Here is a 21,568-nt window from a genome sequence, read left to right as displayed (position 1 = left end):
CTTTCATGGCTTGATGCCTCATTTTGTTTTAGTGCTAAATAATATTTCATTGTCTCAGTGTACCACAGTTTGTTTATTCACATACTGAGGAGCATCTTGGTTGCTTCTAAGTTTCAGCAATTACAAGTAAAGCTGCTTAAACATCCATGTTCATGTTATTGTGTAGAAATAATTTTCAACTCCTTTGGGTAAATACCAAGGAGTGTGATTACTGGATCATATGGTAAGAATAGGCTTAGATTTTTAAGAAACTATGCCAAACTGTCTTCCAAAGTGCCTTCGCCATTTCACATTCCCACTAGAAATGAAAGAAAGTTCCTATTAGTTTACATCCTAACCAGCATTTGGTATTGTCAGTGTCCTGGATTTTGGTCATTCTAATAGGTGTGTGTGTAGTGGCATCTCATTGCTGTTTTAGTTTGCATTCACCTGAAGATGTAAGACATAGTGCATCTTTTCCTATGCTTATTTGCCCTCTCTGTATCTTCTATGGTGAGATGAGATTTTCTTTTTAATTTAAAAACAAGCAAGAGTGAAAAAGTGTATGTCCTCTTTTGATTTACTTAACACTATACATAGAAAGCATGACTACTCCTACAGTGAAAATCAAGACATTGTTTTTTGTTTGTTTTTCACTTGTTTTCTGAGACACAGGTTGTGGTCCAGGCTGGAGTAGAGTGCAGCAGTGTGATCATAGCTCACTGCAGCCTCAGAATCTCGGGTTCAAGCAATCCTCCTGCTTCTGCCTCCTGAATAGCTAGGACTACCATCGTGTGCTACCACACCCAGCTAACTTTTTCTTATTGTTTGTAGAGATGGGGTCTTGCTATGTTGGCCAGGTTGGCCTTGAACTCCTGGCCTCAAGCAATCCTCCTGCCTCAATCTCCCAAAATACTGGGATTATACACATGAGCCATTGTACCCAGTCCAAGACATTGTTTACCCAGTAGCATTGTACTTCAATTTCAGAAAAAGTAACAAGGAGAAAAATGAAATCTGTGATTTTGTAGGTTTAAGATTAAAAGGGTATCTTCGTGGAGGTCAATGCTACAGATTGCATTAGGACTTTTTCTAGACTACAGTGTTTTCATGTTTTTTTAATGAATTTGGGGTGTTGTCATTTTTCTTGGTACACGCATTTAATATTATCCTCATATGGAGGATTCGGAGACCCTAAGAACAAGAAAATGAGCTAACAGTGAATAGAGCGAGAGAAGGAATCATTTGACCTGGCTTCTACATTTCTTTTCATCGTATCCCTTCTCCCTTGGCAATAGTCTTTCCCCACATTGCTCAAGCAAGTGAAGAGACCCATTGCCGGAATCACCTATTTTGTGGTCCTGTCCTCAGTCTGGGTCTCTATCCCTTTGCTCTGAATCTGCACCTTGAGGAAAAATTCCAGAACAATGACCTTTCCTTTCTTTCTTACCAACTCTTTTGCAGAAGCTTCTTGCTGTCAGTGCAATTGCTCACCTCTTTAGTTCAAATGTGCCCCTTACAAAAATATCTACCGACCCTGACCTTTGAAAAGAGCAAAAGGGGTTTTCAGCTACAGCTAACAGAGAGGAGATGAAAGCCTTGACAATCTCGTGGAACCCAAGGATACTAAAATTTCTCAAGGTGCATCCCCTCTCTCAGTTGGCCAAATCTTTGTGCTTCTTCAACAACTAGAGCTAGTAAATCCACCGTAGAGGTGAAAAAGGAAAATAGTCCTCAAAGTGTAAATTATAGCCTGTAAAGGGGGAAAGAAAACGTGTCATCTTTCAACCTAACTTTCCTTGGCAGAAATAGCCTTTAAGAATTCTCTTCAAATGAGCACTCAACTTCTGGCAGGCTTCTTGTGATGCAGATTCCTTTGTTCAGGAATGATTATTTAAGCTTCCCAGTTTAGCTTCATAACACCGTTTTCATAATGCTTTTTTTTATATTTTTTATTTTCTTTCTTCTTATCTCAAAACAAGTTTTTCTCCCCAGTATAACCTTGCTTTCCGAGGAACTGAACTAGCTCTAGTGTTGTATTTATGACTGCTTTAATGCCTAAACTATTTAAGCTTATTAAACATACACTCACATACACACAAAGCCATACATAAATTTTAAAATGTGTTTAACTGTACCTTTCAAGATCAATGCAAGACTTTCTATGGAATATTTAATTAGCAGCAATACAGCAAAAGAAACCTACTATCAGGAATTAGAAACCCCCATACAAGGGGAGTCGCCCTTCCCTCCTTATTATCTTGTGTGTGTGCGTTTTTAATTAAATATCCCCAGGTTCTGGTGATACTGCAGATGTTTAACACAATACCCATTCAGTAGAAATGCTTTATACTTATCACTTCTTGAAGATGGACTTATCAGCTCTTTCTTTCAACCACATGTCTCAGATTAATATGCATTGTGAGATAACGTATTTGACAGGTTCAGAAGGGTCAAGCAGCAGAGATAACATTATGAATAGTACTAGAATTAGTAAAAAGAGGCAGAGTAGCAGAGTAGCAGCACTAAGTCCTACTCAATAGTTCAGTCTGAATGAGTACCTGGGTTATAATCTCACAGGCACATAACAGGAGAAGGAATAAGATAACAGAGCTGTATTTTCCACTTGTTGCCACATATATTGTTTTATTCTAATCCCCGTATCTCTTCATGCCCTTTACAAGAATGTATTCATTTAGCTCCAGTGGGTCAAATTAACTTGGGTATTTTAGATGACTGTTAATGAGACAGTAATCCTCTCATTTTAAGGGTGTATCTCCAATTCAAAAAATATGCATAGATGCCCCATTTCACCTCTTACTGGACAGGTGGCAAACCATTCTTCCTTTGGGTCTGTGATGTCTTTCTCACTTGATAGCTCCATCTGTCCCTGCCTGGGTGACAGCAGGATCATCGCAAAGAGAGTAATGAAGTGGAGTGGTACCCAATTACTGCCACTCCACGTGTGCCACCGCCTCACCCCTCCTACTCGTGGACTGCGGGAGAAGTCTTCTGAGTCCACTTCCCCATATACATCATCCTCCCACCACCTCTTCTTCAAGCATCTACACTCTGCCCAGCTGTGGTCAGAGACATCAGGAGAAAAGTTGAGCCCACATTGCAAGAATAAAGCAGAGAATAATAACAGCCTTGGTTGGTGGCATCTAGAGCCACCCAGCATCACTTGCAAAATTTTATTTTCCTCCAAAGTATCTTTGCCATTGGTGCTTGCCAAAGAGGGATGTTTCTGCGATTTTTACGAAAAGTTCAAAGTAAAAACAGAAATGCTTATTAGGACAGGAAATGTGGTACATTGGGCCGTAGGGAAAGGGGAACATTAGCCACCTGCTGCATACACTAGAACTAAACCTTCGTGATCCATTTTGCTTCGGTTTTTTTCTTTGTTTGTTTTGAGAGACAGAGTTTCACTTTTGTTGCCCAGGCTGGAGTGCAATGGCACAATCTAGGCTCACTGCAACCTCCGCCTCCCGGTTCAAGCAATTCTCCTGCCTCAGCCTCCCGAGTAGCTGGGACCACAGGCACATGCCACCATGCCCAGCTAATTTTTGTATTTTTAGTAGAGACTGGGTTTTACCATGTTGACCAGGCTGGTCTTGAGCCCCAACCTCAAATGATCTACCCGCCTCAACCTCCCAAAGTGCTGGGATTACAAGGCATGAGCCACTGCACCTGGCCCTTGCTTTAGTTTTTAAGGTCCATGTTTCTTCTTGATTTCCAAATATCAGCTCTATTTCTAGATTGTGGTCTGCACTGCTACTTTCCTTTACAGTATATTCTCTTTTCACTTAAGGACAGGTATTTTTCTATAAAAAAGGGACTCCAAAATCTATTCTTGGTTTGTATGCTAAGAATGAACATGAGGAGATAGAAAAAGAAGCAGGTAGATGCAGTCCATGAAACCCTTCACGTAAAAAGTATTTTCTTTTCTCCCTAAAGTGTTTGGTTTCAGTTAGACATTTTACCTGCCAAGTACTTTGCCAGGCATGAAGTACAGTCACGTGCCATATAATGATGTTTCAGTAAACAATGAACCACATATATAATGGTAGTCCTGCAAGATTATAATGAAGCTGAAAATCTCCCATTGCCTACTGACTTTGTAGCTGTCACATCATAACACAGCACATTACTCATGTGTTTGTGGTGAAGCTAGTGTAAGCAAACCTACTGCACTGGCAGTCTCTTAAAAGTCTAGCACATATGGGCTGGGTGCGTTGACTCACATCTGTAATCCCAACACTTTGGGAGGCCGAGGTGGGAGGATCACAAGATCAGGAGTTTGAGACCAGCCTAACCAACATGGTAAAACCCCATCTCTCCTAAAAATACAAAAATTAGCCGTGCATGGTGGCGTGCGCCTGTAATCCCAGCTACTCAGGAGGCTGAGGCAGGAGAATTGCTTGAACCCAGGAGGTAGAGACTGCAGTGAGCCAAGATTGCACCACTGCACTCCAGCCTGGACAACAATAACTAAACTCTGTCTCAAAAAAAAAAAAAAAAGTCTAGCACATACAATTATGTGCAGCAGAGACTACTTGATGATGATAATAAATGACTATTACTGGCTCATATATTTACTATGCCATACTTTTTATTGTGATTTTAGAGTGTACTCTGTACTTTTTTTTTTTAAGTTAACTGTGAAACGGCTTCAGGCAGGTCCTTCAAGAGGTATCCAGAAGAAGGCATTGTTATCCTAGGAGATGACCACTCTAAGCATGTTACTGCCCCTGAAGACCTCCCAGTGGGACAAGATATGGAGGTGGAAGATAGTGATCCTCACCCCGTGTAGGCCTAGGCTAATGTGTGTGTTTATGTCTTAGTTTTTAAGAAAAAAGTTTAAAAAGTAAAAAAATAAAAATAGAAAAAACTTACAGAATCAGGATATAAAGTAAGAAAATATTTTCATAGAGCCGTATAATGTTTCTGTTTTAAACTAAATTTTGGTACAAAAAGTCAAAAAGTTTAAAAAATAAAAAGTTCATAAAATAAAAATGTTACAGTATGTTGAGGTGAATTTGTTATTGAAGAAATAATTTTGTATAAATTTTACAAATTTAGTATAGTCTAAATGTGCAGTGTTGATAAGGCCTACAGTCATGCACAGTAATGTCCTAGGCCTTCACATTCACTCACTACTCACTGACTCATTCAGAACCACTTCTAGTTCTGCATGCTAAATTCATGGTAAGTGCCCTATACAGATGCATCATTTTAAAAAATCTTTTATACTATATTTTTACTAGGCCTTTTCTATGTTTAGATCTACAGTACCTATCATTGTACTACAGTTGCCTACGATGTTCAGTACAGTGACATGCTGTACGGGTTTGCAGCCTAGGAGCAATAGGCTATATCATATAGCCTAGATGTGCAGTAGGCTGCACCATCTAAATTTGTGTAAGTACACTCTAAGATGTTTGCACAACGATGAAATGGCCTAATGATACATTTCTCAGAACATATTCCTGTCTTTAAGCAGTGCATGACTGTACTTAGATGTGGACACAGATTGTTCTTGACTTAGAGGGGCCCCCAGGCTAGTAGAGGAGAAATGTGTGAAATTCAATGCAGCGTGTGATCATTAGGTCTATTCAAAGTACAATGCAAGATTTGTGGTAGAAAAACAAATGAATAAATAGCTCATCATAACTAGTATGAATGCTATTTAAAGTAGGGAAACAGCACAAATTCAGACTTAGAGGTGTCAAAGAACATGGTATGTCTAGGACAAGGAATGACCAAAGCAAAGTTATAGGAGTAGATGGGCATTGAAAGAGCAAATAGCAAATGTCACAATGTACTTTGGGGCCAGGTTTCAAAGCCCCTCATGTAGAGGTTGTGTGATTTTCACATTATCTTAAAGGAAACAAGATCTTTTGAGGTGAAACAGTTGGGTGTGTTCTAGGGTATACAAAGTCCCAAGTAGAGTTTATTTGAATCCTCCATGGAAACAACTGCATTCCTATTGGAAGAACACAGTCAGAGTCATTCTCTACCTCCTTGAATGTCACACAAACCACAAGCCTGGGCCAATGGGGAAAAGTCAGTATTGAAAAGCTGCAAGAAAATGTGGCACATATACACCATGGAATACTATGCAGCCATAAAAAAGGATGAGTTCATGTCCTTTGTAGGGACATGGATGAAGCTGGAAACCATCATTCTCAGCAAACTATCGTAAGGACAGAAAACCAAACACTGCATGTTCTCACTCATAGGTGGGAATTGAACAATGAGAACACTTGGACACAGGAAGGGGAACATCACACACCGGGGCCTGTCGTGGGGTAGGGGGAGGGGGAGGGATAGCATTAGGAGATATACCTAATGTAAGTGACGAGTTAATGGGTGCGGCACACCAACATGGCACATGGATACATATGTAACAAACCTGCATGTTGTGCACACGTACCCTAGAACTTAAAGTATAATAATTAAAAAAAAAAAAAAAGCTGCAGAACAGGAGCAAGCACAAAATATCAAAAGAACAGATGACCCTATTTCAGCAAATCAGAGCAGTCTGGATGCCACAATGCACTGCACATGGTCACCTTTGGCCCGCCCCATACATGCTAGTATTCTCCTTATTTTCTTCTTACTTAGCTCACTCTCTTTGAGTAATGTCCATTCTCATAGCATGTCTGTAATCACTGTTACACAGCCAACCTCTGTGGGCACTCAAGCAATGGCATGTGTTTTGTACTCGACATGAAAGCAAAGGACATGTTGGCATGATGGGTAGGGGGTAAGCAGTCAAGAGAATTGACAACCAATGATGAAAAACCATGAGCAGATTTCCTTAAATTAAAGTTTAAAAGTTTCAGGGGAATCTATCAGTATATCGATGATGAGCTATCTTCAGAATTAAAAGAGAGAAAGTGCCTACTTTCCTATTTTACTTTTTATTTTGAAAATGAACATGACACCCCTAGCGGCTGCAAGACAGCCAGATGGTTTCCTCAGGTCAGTTGAAAACTTTCACATAAGGGGAAAGAGGAAGGCTAACTAGCAAGCTGGGAAGATGGTTACCAAAAGATCCACATGGGAAGAATTTATCCAGCAATGACAAGTTGTGTGGAGATGATGTGAGACTGTCCGACACTTCTATATCCTTCCCTTCAGTCTGGCTTACGTACCATTTGAAAGAGCACGCACATGGCTTGATAGGGATGCAGCCTTGAAATCAATTGACATAGCAGGGAAAACATTAATAGCATCTGCAGCCACAGAACAGTCTGCTGCAGTGAGATTTGTTGTAGGACAGAAATGACAGTTATAGAACAGCATTTTACTGATATGGGCTTCGTGAGTACGGATAGCAAAAAAAAAAGGAGTGGATACTATGGCAGGAAGTGTTTGTAGCATGAGTTAGGGGTTTTGATGGAACAAACTGGGCTACCAATAAAGCATTATACAAGTAAAAATGGAGAGGCTGGTGAAGTAGAGAAAGATGGAAGATGGTGATAGATGCAGTGTTGATCCTGAACGACGTTTTCTTAGCCTGTTCTATTACACACCAGCCACGGCTTGGACTTTTCATGGTCCCATTTGAAACATCAACTGATGTTGAATGCTAGAGTGACTTTGCAGAGACGGTATGATTGCACAGGTGAAATTCACAGAAACAAATGCTGTCCTTTGACTCATGCTGCTTGTAAGTTCATAATAACATTAACAAATTTGATCCCAAAATTACTGTCAAAATTTGTTTTGTTGTTTTTGAGTACATCAACTGATCTTCAGTCGAATTGCTTTATTTATTTTAAACTTCAATTTCACAGATCCTGAAATATTGATTTGATTTTTTTCAAATGAGGAAAGTTTTAATAGTAATATCAGGCCAAACTGCAAAAATTAATACAAGATATTTTTCTAACATGTTACAATCACATTTCAAAATGGCATTGATTTGGTGCCTTACTATATGTATTTTTTGCCTCTAGGGACAGTTTGGATGCTAATTCAAATTTGTCATGGCAGGAAATGAAGTGTCTGGTCTGGTAAAGAAAATCGTTCATCAGAGTTACAGTTTTTCCTGGTTGGAGATGTAAACGGAAACATCTAAATTATTTAAGAAAACTGATCTTATGATATTCCTGGAAAAGATGTCATAACACTGACATAAACCATCAGTTACTCCCCACTTCCCACGACATCAGTACTTCAAGGTTAATGACATATAAATTCATGTTTTATAAAAGATGTAAAACATTAATGTTTCCTTGTTTTAATTCCTGAGGATGCCTGTATATTTGGAAAGAGGGGAAAGGCCTCATTAGGAGAAAACATAGTGTCTCTTTCCATTTCTTTCCTATCTCTAAGATTTGAAAATTTTTTTCCTTTTCTTAATGTAGTTATATCCCATTTGGATAGCTCTGTGGGGTGTTGCTAGGTTAAATTTGTGACATCACACTTACTGTTAAATCTTGTCCATTTCCAAGACTATTCTAAACACCATAGGAGACAAAAAATAATTATAAGACTCAGTTTCCTATCTTCAGACAACTTACTCTAGAGTTAAGAGAGAGTATATGTCAATATTTTAAGACTTATCTGAGGCTTTGGGTAAAAGATAACTTAAAATAAATGCAGCTTCTGTGCTCTGGAGTCAGGCTTCTCATTGGGTTTCTTTGGGTTTGGATGACTGTGGCTGTGCAATTTAGTTATCACAGCTGTAAATGATGTCCATAGTACAATATACATCATAGGGTTTTTGTGAATATTAAATTAGTAAGTGTACACAAAGTGATAAAAATGGTGCCTAAGGAGATACAGCCACTAAGTGTTATTGTTCATTTACTTTTTTCAGTAAATATGTACTGAGTATCAATTTTTACTACATATGCAGACAACATCACTAACACAATTTCCCCTTCCTCTTAGAGGTGACATTCTCCAGCAGGGAGGTGAACTGGGGAGATAACTGTGAACATGGAAGTGTTAGAGTGTAGCAGGTGCTGTGGTTGAAACAGGATAACGTGGTAGCAAATAGGTTGGGAGACAACTTGTCCTAGATAGATTAGTCAAGGGAAGCTTCCTTGCAGAGGAATTATTTAGACTAAAACCCCAATTATTCACAGAAGCCAGGTGTGTGATCCATAGGTAAGTTAGAAAATTCAAAATAAAAGGAAACCATTGAGCCCTGGGGCAATCTGAAGAGGCTCCTTGGAGGAAGAGGCCGTCCTCATACTATTCAAATTAGCAGACAGGAGAAAAATGGTTTCTCAGGCAAATAAGTCGCCACAGATGCAAAGCTCAGATGTGGGAAACTCAAGACATAAGATGTGCTAAACGGGTTTTAATATTTCTACCTGTCTATAATGGATGGTTTATGCAGAAGAGTAGGGGGCAAGGTGAGGAGGTAAACTGACCCCAGATGGCAGAGGCCATTCAACCTCAGAATCTTCTTAAAATCACACAGAGATTTCTCTACATATAATTTGAGTTATTGATGATTTATGATATAAATTAATTATTTGACTATTTCTTCAGTTCAATGATGGGCCCCTAGAGCGGGGCACTTGTTAAGTATTCATTGACTGAGTAATTGATAGATTGTGATAGATGCAGGAGGCAGGTAAGAGGGAGGACCCCTGAAGAATCTTCGACCCACCCCACATCAGAGGCTTTTATGCAGAGGAGGGAACCTGCCCAGGGTCTTGTCTGCACATGTTCACAATGGACTGGGGGCCCACCTGGGCACTGGGAGAATGGGGTGAAACCAGGGGAAGCTTACACCTTGTGCAGGAAGGAGGAGCCTGGCATTTTCAGTTCCTGTGCGATGGCTTAGTATTCAATTTGTGAGGTGGGGGCCTGATAGCAGGACTCCCTCTCGCTTTGCTGATTGTTTTTCTTTCTTTTTTCCTTTACACCCGATAAATTCTGCTCTCCTCACCCTTCAATGTATCCACTTGCCTAATCTTTCCTCCTCATGTGACAAGAACCCAGTTTTAGCTGAACTAAGGAGCAAACTTCTGCAACAGTTGGTTAGTTGTTTGGGTAGTTTATTTATTGCACAAGACCTAGAATAAAAGATGCTGAATAAATGTTTAGGGAAGAAAAGAATGAAGGAATGAAGGAAAATAGCAGTGATAATACAATGGAAAGACTTGGATATAAGAAAAACATGAGGGAGAAGTCAACAGTACCATGCTTAAAATGGAAGGAGATGAAGACAAGTCAAAGATGAATGAGGTGTCAAGCCTACATGACAAATGCACACCAATAAGAAAATGCCAAGAGATTTGGTTTAAAGGAGGAAAAAGATGAGGAGACCCATGTTAGGTGTGCATATGTCAAGGAAACACTGTGATAATCAAGCAGAACACACACACACAAACACACACAAAGAATAGTTAAATGGCTAACAGGGATCCAGGATAAACTGGTGCAATGAAACTTCCAAGGAAGAGCTCTCTCAGTCACTTACTAACATAGATTCCATGGAGAATTAAAGCTAAGGAAATGCTTTCAGATTTGTCAATTAGGAAGCCACCATTGATTTTTGAAGGGGCCGTATCCAATTGAATGTTGGGGGATAGAAGCCAAGTTGTACCTTTGTCTTCTCATCTGTCATTTTCTTGAGTTTTCAAGAAATATCTGTCAATCAGTAGGCAAGAGGTCATAATGTTGGTACTTTGTATAAATGCTGAAAATAAATAATTAGGCCACATTTATAATTATTAAAATGCCAGATTCAGCCAGCATGGTGGCTCATGCCTGTAATCCCAGCAGTTTGGGAGGTCAAGGTGGGTGGATCACCTGAGGTCAGGAGTTTGAGACCAGCCTGGTTCACATGGTGAAACCCTGTCTCTACTAAAAATACAAAAATTAGCTAGGTGGTGGCACATGTCTGTAATCCCAGCTATTCTGGAGGCTGAGGCAGAAGAATTGCTGGAACCTGGGAGGCGGAGGTTGCAGTGAACCAAGATCGCACCACTGCACTCTAGCCTGGGCGACAAGAGTGAGACTCAATTTAAAAAAAAAAAAAAAAAAAAGCGAGATTCTGCTTTTAAAAAATAAAACAATCAAAAGCATTTTGAAGACAACCAAAGTGTTACCTCCCCCACCAAATAATATTTTCAATTTACTTAATAATGTGTAATTATAGATATACGACAATTGCATTTCCTGACATCTCATACTGGTGAAGTCAATACCTTGAAGAGTTTCTCTAAAAAACCGAATGAGTAAATAAATAGAGTTTTTTTTAAAGAAAACTTTTATTTACTTTATCTTAAAAGACATACATAATAATAAATAAGAAAGAAAAGGACAAGGGTTTTAAAGGTCAAGTTAAGCATTTTTCTTTAACAAGGTTATTTTGACATTACTAAATGGAACAGCCACAGAACTTCGAGCAGCCCTATTAGATTAATGATAGCATCAATGGCAAGAACAAGTACTGTTTGTTAAGCACATTTCCCCCTCAATACTTTAATTCTGCTTGGGACAGAGAAAATAGAGAAGAAAAGAAAGCCTAATCTAACCCTGGTCATCATATATTTTCTTTTTTTAAATTCAGTAAGAATCAACAGCACAAAAATAGCCTTTTCCAGACAGTATCAAAAAAAATCAATAATCAGTCTTGCCAGAAGAAATTAAACAACACTTTCAGTACTGTTACCCATTAAACAGACTATATTGATAATTTTCAAACCATATGCCCAGTCTTTTATACACTCTGAAAGGAAATATCTTTATTATTGTATAAAGCTGCCTTGACCTACACATACCCTTAAGCCAAAAATAATCCTTTTCTTCTCTGACCTCCTTAAGATTTTATGTTTCAAATGGAAAGAACTTCTGGATAAGCATGGAGAAGTGACTACATAAGCAATTTTTTCTGTGCTGGTTCCAGAAATTGCATTCAAATTAGAGTAAAGTTGAACCCATAAGCACAAAGAGAAAGAAAGGAAGCTATCAGGGAACAGAGTTATCCACAAACTATTGGAACGTGGGTGATACAAGGAGAAGCAACCTGCATCGTGCAGCAAGAACTTGGAAAGGCTCATACATTTTGATACTAGAAACCAAGGAAGGCCAGGTGTGGCACAAACAGAAAACTGAAAGTCCTTGAGGGAAGTGTTTACATATTGGCCTCTTCCCAGCAGTTCATTTCATGGAAATTGAATTCAAGAGCATCCAGATTTGAGCACACCTGGCACAGAGGAAAAGTGGGGGAGAGGTACCATTCTGGAAAGTTACTGTTTAATCCAATGCCTCAACCTTCTTAATTTCACTCCATTGCAAGAACACCCTTTGTTAAACCAATATGCTCAAGTAAGTGGTTAGAATAGTCTTTTCTGGAAAAACTCAACAGCACCCAACAAAGACATAAATACTGACCACTGATGGTCCCTCAATGAAGCAGTTGGGTCCTCACACAGTTTCCTACAATGAAGCCCACTAGTCCTTCAGACCTACAAATATATACAAAAAAAATTCAAGTATCAATCCAGGAGATCCATGCCTTCTGCATTTTAATCTCTGTGTCACAGTCCACTGTCCCGGGAACTAAATCTGTGGTACAATAATTCAGAAACAATTTTTAAAAGCCAACAATATTATTTTCCAGATTAACAGGGTTTACTAAGGTTCCAGCATAATAAATGACCTCAGTCACATCAAAACACAATTTCAGAAAGAAAAGAAAAAGAAAAAAAATCCAGAAGACTTCCAGAAAAGAAATAAATCAAATAACATAAAAAGCATCAGGAGACGTAATGGCATTGGACTTCTCAGAAACATCACTCAAATCTAGAAGATGATGTAACAATTTCTTCAAATGGCTTTAAAACTATGCTAGCAAATGCTACTAAACTGTCAAACATGAAGGCACAACAAAACAAATTCATATATGTAAGGTTTAAAAAAAATCTCCCTTTCTCCTTTCTTCAAGAACCTGGTGAATGTGTGTTGCTAAAAAAAAAAGGGAGTAAATGAAGAAAAAAGATGATTTGGTAAATAGAGAATCCAAGAAAGAAGAGAGGTAAAGTCTAAGAATGAGAGCTGTGGTCAGTCAGGCTTGAGCATGAGTCTAGCAGAGAGCAAGGAGAGCAGTCTCTGAAAAAGGTCTCCATAAAAATGATGGAACTGTTGCCATACCTGAAGTGCTTTAGTGTTCAGAGATGAGTTAGGATTCTGTTGAGAAATATGGAAAGGAAGTATAATCAGGGTATAATAAATCAACCAGTTACAATAAGATAAAACTTTAGGCCAATATCCCTGATAAACATCGATATGAAAATCCTCAATAAAATACTGGCAAGCTGAATCCAGCAGCCATCAAAAAACTTATCTACCATGATCAAGTCGGCTTCATCCCTGAGATGCAAGGCTGGTTCAACATATGTAAATCAATAAGCGTAATCCATCACATAAACAGAACGAAAGACAAAAACCACATGATTAACTCAATAGATGCAGAAAAGGCCTTTGATAAAATTCAACATCCCGTCATGTTAAAAACTCTCAATAAACTAGGTAATGATGAAACATATCTCAAAATAATAAGAGCTATTTATGACAAACCCACAGCCAATATCATACTGAATGGGCAAAACCTGGAAGCATTCCCTTTGAAAACCGGCACAAGACAAAGATGCCCTCTGTAACCACTCCTATTCAACATAGTATTGGAAGTTCTGGCCAGGGCAATCAGACAAGAGAAAGAAATAAAGGGTATTCAAATAGGAACAGAGGAATTCAAATTGTCTTTGTTTGCAGACGACATGATTTTATATTTAGAAAACCCCATCATCTCAGGCCCCAAATTCCTTAAACTGACAAGCAACTTCAGAAAAATCCCAGGATACAAAATGTATGTGCAAAAATCACAAGCATTAATTTACACCAGCAATAGACAAGCAGAGAGTCAAATCATGAATGAACTCCCATTCACTATCACTACACAGAGAATAAAATACCTAGGAACACAGCTAACAAGGGATGTGAAAGAACTCTTCAAGGAGAACTACAAACAACTGCTCAAGGAAATAAGAGAATGCAAACAAATGGAAAAACATTCCATCCTCATGGATAGGAATAATCAATATCATGAAAAAGGCCATACTGCCCAAGGTAATTTATAGATTCAATGCTATTCCATCAAACTACCATTGACATTCTTCACAGAATTAGAATAACCTATTTTAATTTCATATGGAATCAAAGAGCCCATATAGCCAAAACAATCCTAAGCAAAAAGAACAAAGCTAGAGGCATCACACTACTTGACTTCAAACTACACTACAAGGCTACACTAACCAAAACAGCACGGTACTCATACCAAAACACATATAGACCAATGGAGGAATAGAGACCTCAGAAATAACACCACATATCTACAACCATCTGATCATCATCGACAAACCTGACAAAAACAAGCAATGAGGAAAGGATCTCCTATTCAGTAATTGGTTCTGGGAGAACTGGCTAGCCATATGCAGAAAACTGAAACTGGACCCCTTTCTTACACCTTATACAAAAATTAACCCAAGGTGGATGATATACTCAAATATAAACCCAAAACCATAAAAACCCTAGAAGAACACTTAATGCCATTCAGGACATAGGCATGGACAAAGACCTCATGACAAAAATGCCAAAAGCAACTGCAACAAAAGCCAAAATTGACAAATGGGATGTAATTAAAATAAAGAGCTTCTGCAAGGCAAGAGAAACTATCATCAGAGTGAACAGGCAACCTACAGAATGGGAGAAAATTTTTGCAATCTACCCATCTGACAAAGGTCTAATATCCAGAATCTACAAGGAAATTAAACAAATTTACAAGAAAAAAACACCCCCCATGAAAAGGGAAAAGTCTAGTAAGTAACGATTCAACATGAAGAGGACGGTGGAGGCAGAAATGAACTTGGAAAGTATGTGCGAGTTGAAGATGCTTACTTTGTGACTGTAGAATAAAGGCAGCTGAAGCAATAGTAAAATAGCCAAGTGTTGACTGGAGGCAAGTGGGTCTGTCTGTTTTAATGCTGGAAGGAAGGAAGGAAGGAAGGAAGGAAGGAAGGAAGGAAGGAAGGAAGGAAGGAAGGAAGGAAGGAAAGAAGGAAGGGACGGACGGACGGAGGGAGGGGAAGGAAGGGGAGGGGAGGGGAGGAGAGGGGGAGGGGAGAGGAGGAGAGGGGGAGGGGAGCGGAGGGGAGGAGAGGGGAGGAAATCTTGGCAATGCAAAAAATATCTAATAATTTAAAATGGGCCACAAGTCAGGCTAAACTAGCAATATGACAATGGCCTGGCACTGAGTAGAGAGAGCTGTTTTCTTTTTCTTTCTTTTTTTTTTTTTTTTTTTTGAGACAGTCTCATGCTGTCACCCAGGCTGGAGTGCAGTGGCATGATCTCAGCTCACTGCAATCTCCACCTCCCAGGTTCAAGAAATTCTCCTGCCTCAGTCTCCCAAGTAGCTGGGACAACAGGTGCACACCACCACGCCTGGCTAATTTTTATATTTTTAGTAGAGATGGGTGTCACCATCTTGGCCAGGCTAGTCTCGAACCCCGTACCTCAAGTGATCCACCCACCTCAGCCTCCTAAAGTGCTGGGATTACAGGTGTGAGCCACCACACCCAGCCAGAAGGCTGTTTCGGAAGACCAGAAAGAATTGGCTCCAACATTGGAAGGAGACAAGTGGTGGAAAGTAGTACATAGGCAGGGTTTATCAATACAAAATCAAGTCAAAAACCTCTATTCTGTTTTTAGACACTGATATCTAAATTCAGTTATATTTTGAAGAAATATATTTTTTAATCTTTTTTCAGAGAAATTTCTTAAAGGTGGAAGGACCATGGTGTCTATCAAATTGAGGAACACATATTATTGATCAGTATATACATAGAAAGAAACAGGGTTTAATAAAGAAAAGTCAAGTATCTCATATGTATAAAACAGGGGCATTTAAAAGACATGCAACCAAAGCCATTCTCTAATAGATGGTGTCAAATTAGTTTTTCCCATTATGTTATCAGCCTAAGTGTTTCAATTCATCTACAAAATGAAGGGACATTTTTTCCCCAAGTGACCTCAAGTCAATCTTCTTTCCATAAGTTGATTATTCAACTGGAAATGATTTAGCAGTGATCTCACCATAGCTTGAATGTATTCCAATATATGGCATGCATGAACATTAGAAGACTGATGTATTCATTAAAATGAAAGCATTAATTCCATAATATTTATTTAAATTTTTAAAAATCCTCAGTGGCACAAATGTAGATTAGTTGAAATAGGAAATTATGTCTAAAAATGCAATACACATTCTTGCCATAGATACCAGACCAAGGATTCAGACTAAAACATGACTTATTTTCTCTGTCAGGAATTACAAAATGTGCATTTTTTAGCAGATGCTAATTGTACCAATGGGATTTGTCCAAACCACTCTCATCTGGGATGTGTTTAATTCTTACTACATCAGCACATCTATTCTTCCTCTGAGGCTTAACTAGAAATGTACATAATAAACCTTATTTTTACCATTACATGAAGTGCAGTGAATACATGGAGCTGTTAGTTCCTTCAGTATCTATCAGGGACATACTCTGTTACATTGCACTGTTATAAAGGGTGTGGGCAGGTGTCACGTGGTTGAGAAAATAATCTGAACTCTCATGAAGTGATTTCAGGGTAAGGCAACATACGATGATAGAATGCCATTTGGGGTAGTAAATAATGACAATTAGGGACCAGGAAATCACTCCATAAGTTGCCAACTATACAGTAAATATAAAACATTTAAAGCGAGTTAGAGAATGGAGAGACTCCAAATGAATATCAGGTTTAATGTTCAAGGGCAAGAAACTGTTAAGAAAACCCAAGGATACATCTTGCTCACAAACTCCTGTGTATTTATCTGGGACCATGTACCCTTCAAGAATATTAATGACAGCATAGATTTACATTATACTTTACACCTTTCAAGGCTCTTTCACATATGACTGATAAGTCAGGGAGTGTTTTATTATCACCACTGTACATATAGAGGAAAAAGACTCAGTAACATGAGGCAAGTTTTTAAACATGAAACAAAAGCAAAGCATCAGGCCTCCAGTGGCCAAGATTCTACTCCTGGCTGTTCCATATCACAGCAAGACGTGTGGCCCAGTGACAGCATGTGCAGCAAAAGGAAAAGAAGAGGGGAATAGAGAGAAGGATTTTGCAGCAAATGAGTTGTCAAATGGGCTCCTGGGATGATGGTGAAAATCATTTTGAAGAAATTATCCATCATTTATTCCTTTAGGTTGCAGGGATGCAGGGAGGGTAAAGGGACATATAGTTGATTATTATGAAGGCATCGCCCTTCTGGGTGAGTGACAGTAGCCTGTTTTAAAGCATTCTTTGGCCTAAGCAGGTGCCCTCCTGTGGGTTGTGTGGATAGAGAGCCCCGCCATGTATACAATGAAAGAAAAGCTGAAAACAACAAAGGTCAATTAGGGAGTTAATAACTTGTTTGTATTTACAGTGAAGATATGAAAAGCCAGTTCCCACAGAGGGAATGGTTCAACTGCACAGAGAATAAACTGTACTGTCGACAGACTTCACAAAGTAGTCACATACACACCGATTACTCCCTCTAGGTCTGACTTCTGTTAAAACTGTAAAATAATTTTTATTTATCCTCTTTGTCAGACAAAGCCAGCCAAACTCATAGGGGGAAAAATTGCTTTTTAAATGAATAAAATCTCTATTTCAAGAAAGACAAGCATTTTTAAAAATTAGTCAATTTAAAATTTTTAAAATTTAGTCACTTTAGTCTCTGGGCATCTTCTCTCCTCAAAATTGTCTTGTTTACCCCTCTTTTTGCCTTCTATTTGCTATGAAAAAGAGTAAATCCATAAAGAATGCTGATCTGCTGGGAAGAATACACTACAGTTCTCTCTCATGTAACTTTGTTGAACCTGTGGACCCAAAGGGGAGATAAAATGTATTTTTTCATCAGTAAAAGTCACCAAAAATGTCTTGAAGACTCACAGGAAACAAATATCCATGGTAAGACGATCACATATTTATACAGTCACTTTCTGACCACCAGTAAGCTTTCAGGAGAAAGAAAACTCTGGAAAACTCAAGGATACAACTAGAGGTTAAGGAATCCACTCATTAGAATACACAGCATGTCATTTCTGCACAGTGGTGATGCTTTTCCTTCCACTGCACAGATCCATCCCAGGAGCCCTCTTGGCGTTGTCAATATAGTCATTATCAATTATGCAATGCAGGGGGGAGCAAAGATTAGTAATTCAAAGCTAAGACATCTCCATGATTTATAATCTTGCATGTAACCATCTACAGCAAGCATTGGGAACCTGTCATTAAAAGGCATTAACTTGAGAAAATTAGAGTTCTGTATTGATCACCAAACACCTACAGTTTATTGTGGAGTGATGCTTTAATTTATATTCCAAGCAAGACACTAGGTGAATACTATTTGCATAGAGAGGACTGCATCCTGAAGCCATCTAGTTCCACAACATGACAGGAGCTGTGGCCAAGCATCTTCTCTAAATATATACATTCCAGTGTAGTAGACAGGCAGAGAATGAACCCAAAACTACTTGTGCAGGGCAGCCTGTGGTTAAGGCACAATTATTGACCAAAGAGATAAGATGTCGTTTTGTCTTGAACCTGCTAAACTTGGGCTAGTCAATGGCTGGATGGACAATCTAAAGGAAATATTACTTTTCTACAACCCCACTTCTAGGTAGGTGGACTGCCTCTCTGCTCTTTGCCCCCACTACCTTTCTAACAATTGGCTTTCCTTAATAAAATTAGATAGCTGTTACTATGTTACTTAGCCCAGTTCCTGAGTTTCTGGAAGTGAACACTAGAGGACGGCATCTATGTGGTGTGATTCCTGGAAGAATTGGATGTGAGGGCACATTATCTCAGATAATAAGACTGTCAGGATCAACCTTTAGAGAAAGCATCTGAGAGTTCAGAACTGAACTTCAGAGAAAGTAAAAGGGCTTTGCAAGCATTGCCTAATAGTAAGTTGGGCAGAAACTCACAGCATCTAGGAAACCATGAGCTAAAAATGGTTTTCTACCCTAGCTGCATATTATAATCATCTGGTGAGATTTTATAGAATATTGATGTCTATGCCCCCACCCCTGAGATTCTAATTTAATTGGCCTGGGGTGAGAAGCCAGGCACTGAAGACCTTTTAAAGTTTCCTAAGTGATTCCAACGTGCAGCCAATTTTGGGAACCACTGGTTGTAGCATGTTGGAATACATGTGAGTAAATGTAAGATAGAAAGAATGGAACACATTGAAATGGCTAAGACTTGGTATGGACATCAAAATGGTATATATGGTAAAATTGAGCAGGGAATAGCAAAGTAGTATATAGCAAAGAAATGTGGATACAAAATTTTGGTTTCTACATCAGTCTTGGCTGGTTGGCCAAAGAGTCTTAGAGGAAACATGGTGGTGTAAGAAAGCACCCATCTGCCTCTTCTACTTTTTATTTTATTTTATTTTTTCAGAGACGAAGTTTCCCTTTGTTGCCCAAGCTGGTTTCAAACTCTTAGCCTCAAGCAATCCTCCTACCTCAGCTTCCCAAAGCACTGGGATTACAGTTGTGAGTCAACACTCCTGGGCCCCTCTTCTAATATCCCATGACACAAAAACACCACTGTTACTTGGAAACCCAGCAGCTGAAGTGTGTGGTGGACATCAGCTGAATTTAGTGGAAATCAGGCATGCTATCTCTCGCTATGAAACATAGGGAGGAGTACAGGATAAATGTAGGATCAGAAAATCAGATTTTATAGCTTTGAGATTAGAACTGGAAAATCATTCCTCTAAAAAAAAAAATCTTTGAGGAGCCAGTGGACCACGTCTATGTCCAATGTGTGTTTCACAGGAGGTGCAGGGAAAACGTTCACTGTGTCCCAACCATCTTTTATCTGCACATTCAGACTTGGATGTAAACAAAAAGGAGAGGGTGATATTAGGAGAGCTTGTAGCTAGATACAGAGCAATGCGATAAAGGGAGATTAAAAGAGTGTTTTTAAAGGCTTAAAACATCAAAGATAAGCATCTGACAAAGAGCATTCAAGGCAAAGAACAATAGATTAGAGAGGTAGCTTTGATAAATTTTCATGCTGTGGAAACAAGAAAAAAGAAATAAAACATCTAGAAGGAGCCCAAAGACCTCTTTGCCTATGCACTATTAATAACTAAAGAGAAATAAAAAACAACTATTCTTGACAAATATAATGATGACAGCTTTGATGTTTCTGTGCTAGTCAAGGATGAATGAAGAATACGTAGCTTCTAAATACAAATATATGTGTAAGTTGCGATAAAATTACATTATGCAGGGCCTTATCACTATCTCTAGATCTAAGTGGAGTCTAGTTTAGATGTTAATAAATAATTCTGGATGGATTTCAGGATCCCTCTGAGGGCTACTTGTGGTTTAGTCATTAATATCATGCAGACGTGTTCCCAAGTAATTAAAAGCCTTTGAGATGTCTAGTCTGAACAAATCTACCAAACTCTGAATCAGTTGAATTTTCACCTTCCACCTCTTAGCGTGTTCAGCCAATAGAGAACCTCTAGCTCTTGCTGAACCACAGAAAGCACATAAAAAAACAAACTCTTCTTCACCTCCTCCCTTGTGATAGCAGTAATATTTTTTTTTAATCCAGAGCCTGTGGAGCCTTATTATCTGGGGGGAAATGTAATGAAAGAAGGGAAAAGACGTGCCACATGGCCCCATCAAATAAGGCATTGGCTATCATGTCTGGTGATTAGATTAAAGAAATCTCAGAGCACCTCAAAGCAATTTATAGAAAAACACATTCATGTTTACCTGGGGAGAAGTGACTCAGGTTACAGCTTCCAGATTCCAGCCTTAGTGCCTTAAATTTAATTAATGGAGCATATTGCTTGGTATTAAGCTGCATCAAGCTAGGCTGTAATGAGATGTGCTATTGACAGTGACTTTTCTATTTCAGCAGAACAGTTCAGATGAAAGCACTTGTTTGAAAGGAAATGCACTTGGTCTGAATCCCCTTCTACTCCCTTTCCTTGGAACCAGATGTCTGTATTCTCAAGATCCATTTTCATTTTCTGTGTCCCTTCCCTTTGTCTTCATTGCCAAACAACTTTATAAGTGGGTACCAGTCCATCAGTCTAAGAGGGAAAGATCTCAGTCTGGATTCTGTTATTATTTTGAGGAGTCCCCTCTGATGTCTTAAACTCCATTTTTTAACAACCCTTCCAGCCTTTGCACTCTCACACTCAACAAAATAATAATAGCTGATACCTATTGGACATATTTTCAACCAGAATAAAATTGAGACCTTTATGTTTAGCATCTTTTATGCTTGTAAGACACCTTGATAGGATATAAGTCTCTTCATTATGCAAATGATAAAACAAAGGCCTGAGAAGTTAAATCATCTTGCCCAAGGTCAGATAGCTATTGAGTAATAGAGAGTGGCATTCAGGCTTTTTTTTTTTTTTTCATTCAATGCAAAGTTGTTCAGGACCTACTAAGTGCTAAGAAGAGAAGCACTACATTAGGAGTAAGAAACA

General features: G+C 38.8%; 1 long non-coding RNA gene across 5 annotated transcripts in view; it reads right to left on the bottom strand.

The window, feature by feature from the left end:
• Positions 1-21,568, bottom strand: part of LOC105379364 (uncharacterized) — a 535,736-nt gene that overhangs the window by 51,205 nt on the left and 462,963 nt on the right. The window lies entirely within an intron of this gene.

The sequence above is a fragment of the Homo sapiens genome, chromosome 8, assembly GCF_000001405.40.
Source record: "Homo sapiens chromosome 8, GRCh38.p14 Primary Assembly".
Taxonomy (NCBI): Eukaryota; Metazoa; Chordata; class Mammalia; order Primates; family Hominidae; genus Homo; species Homo sapiens.
Note: the sequence above shows the minus strand (reverse complement) of the source record. Positions and strands in the feature narration are given on the sequence as shown.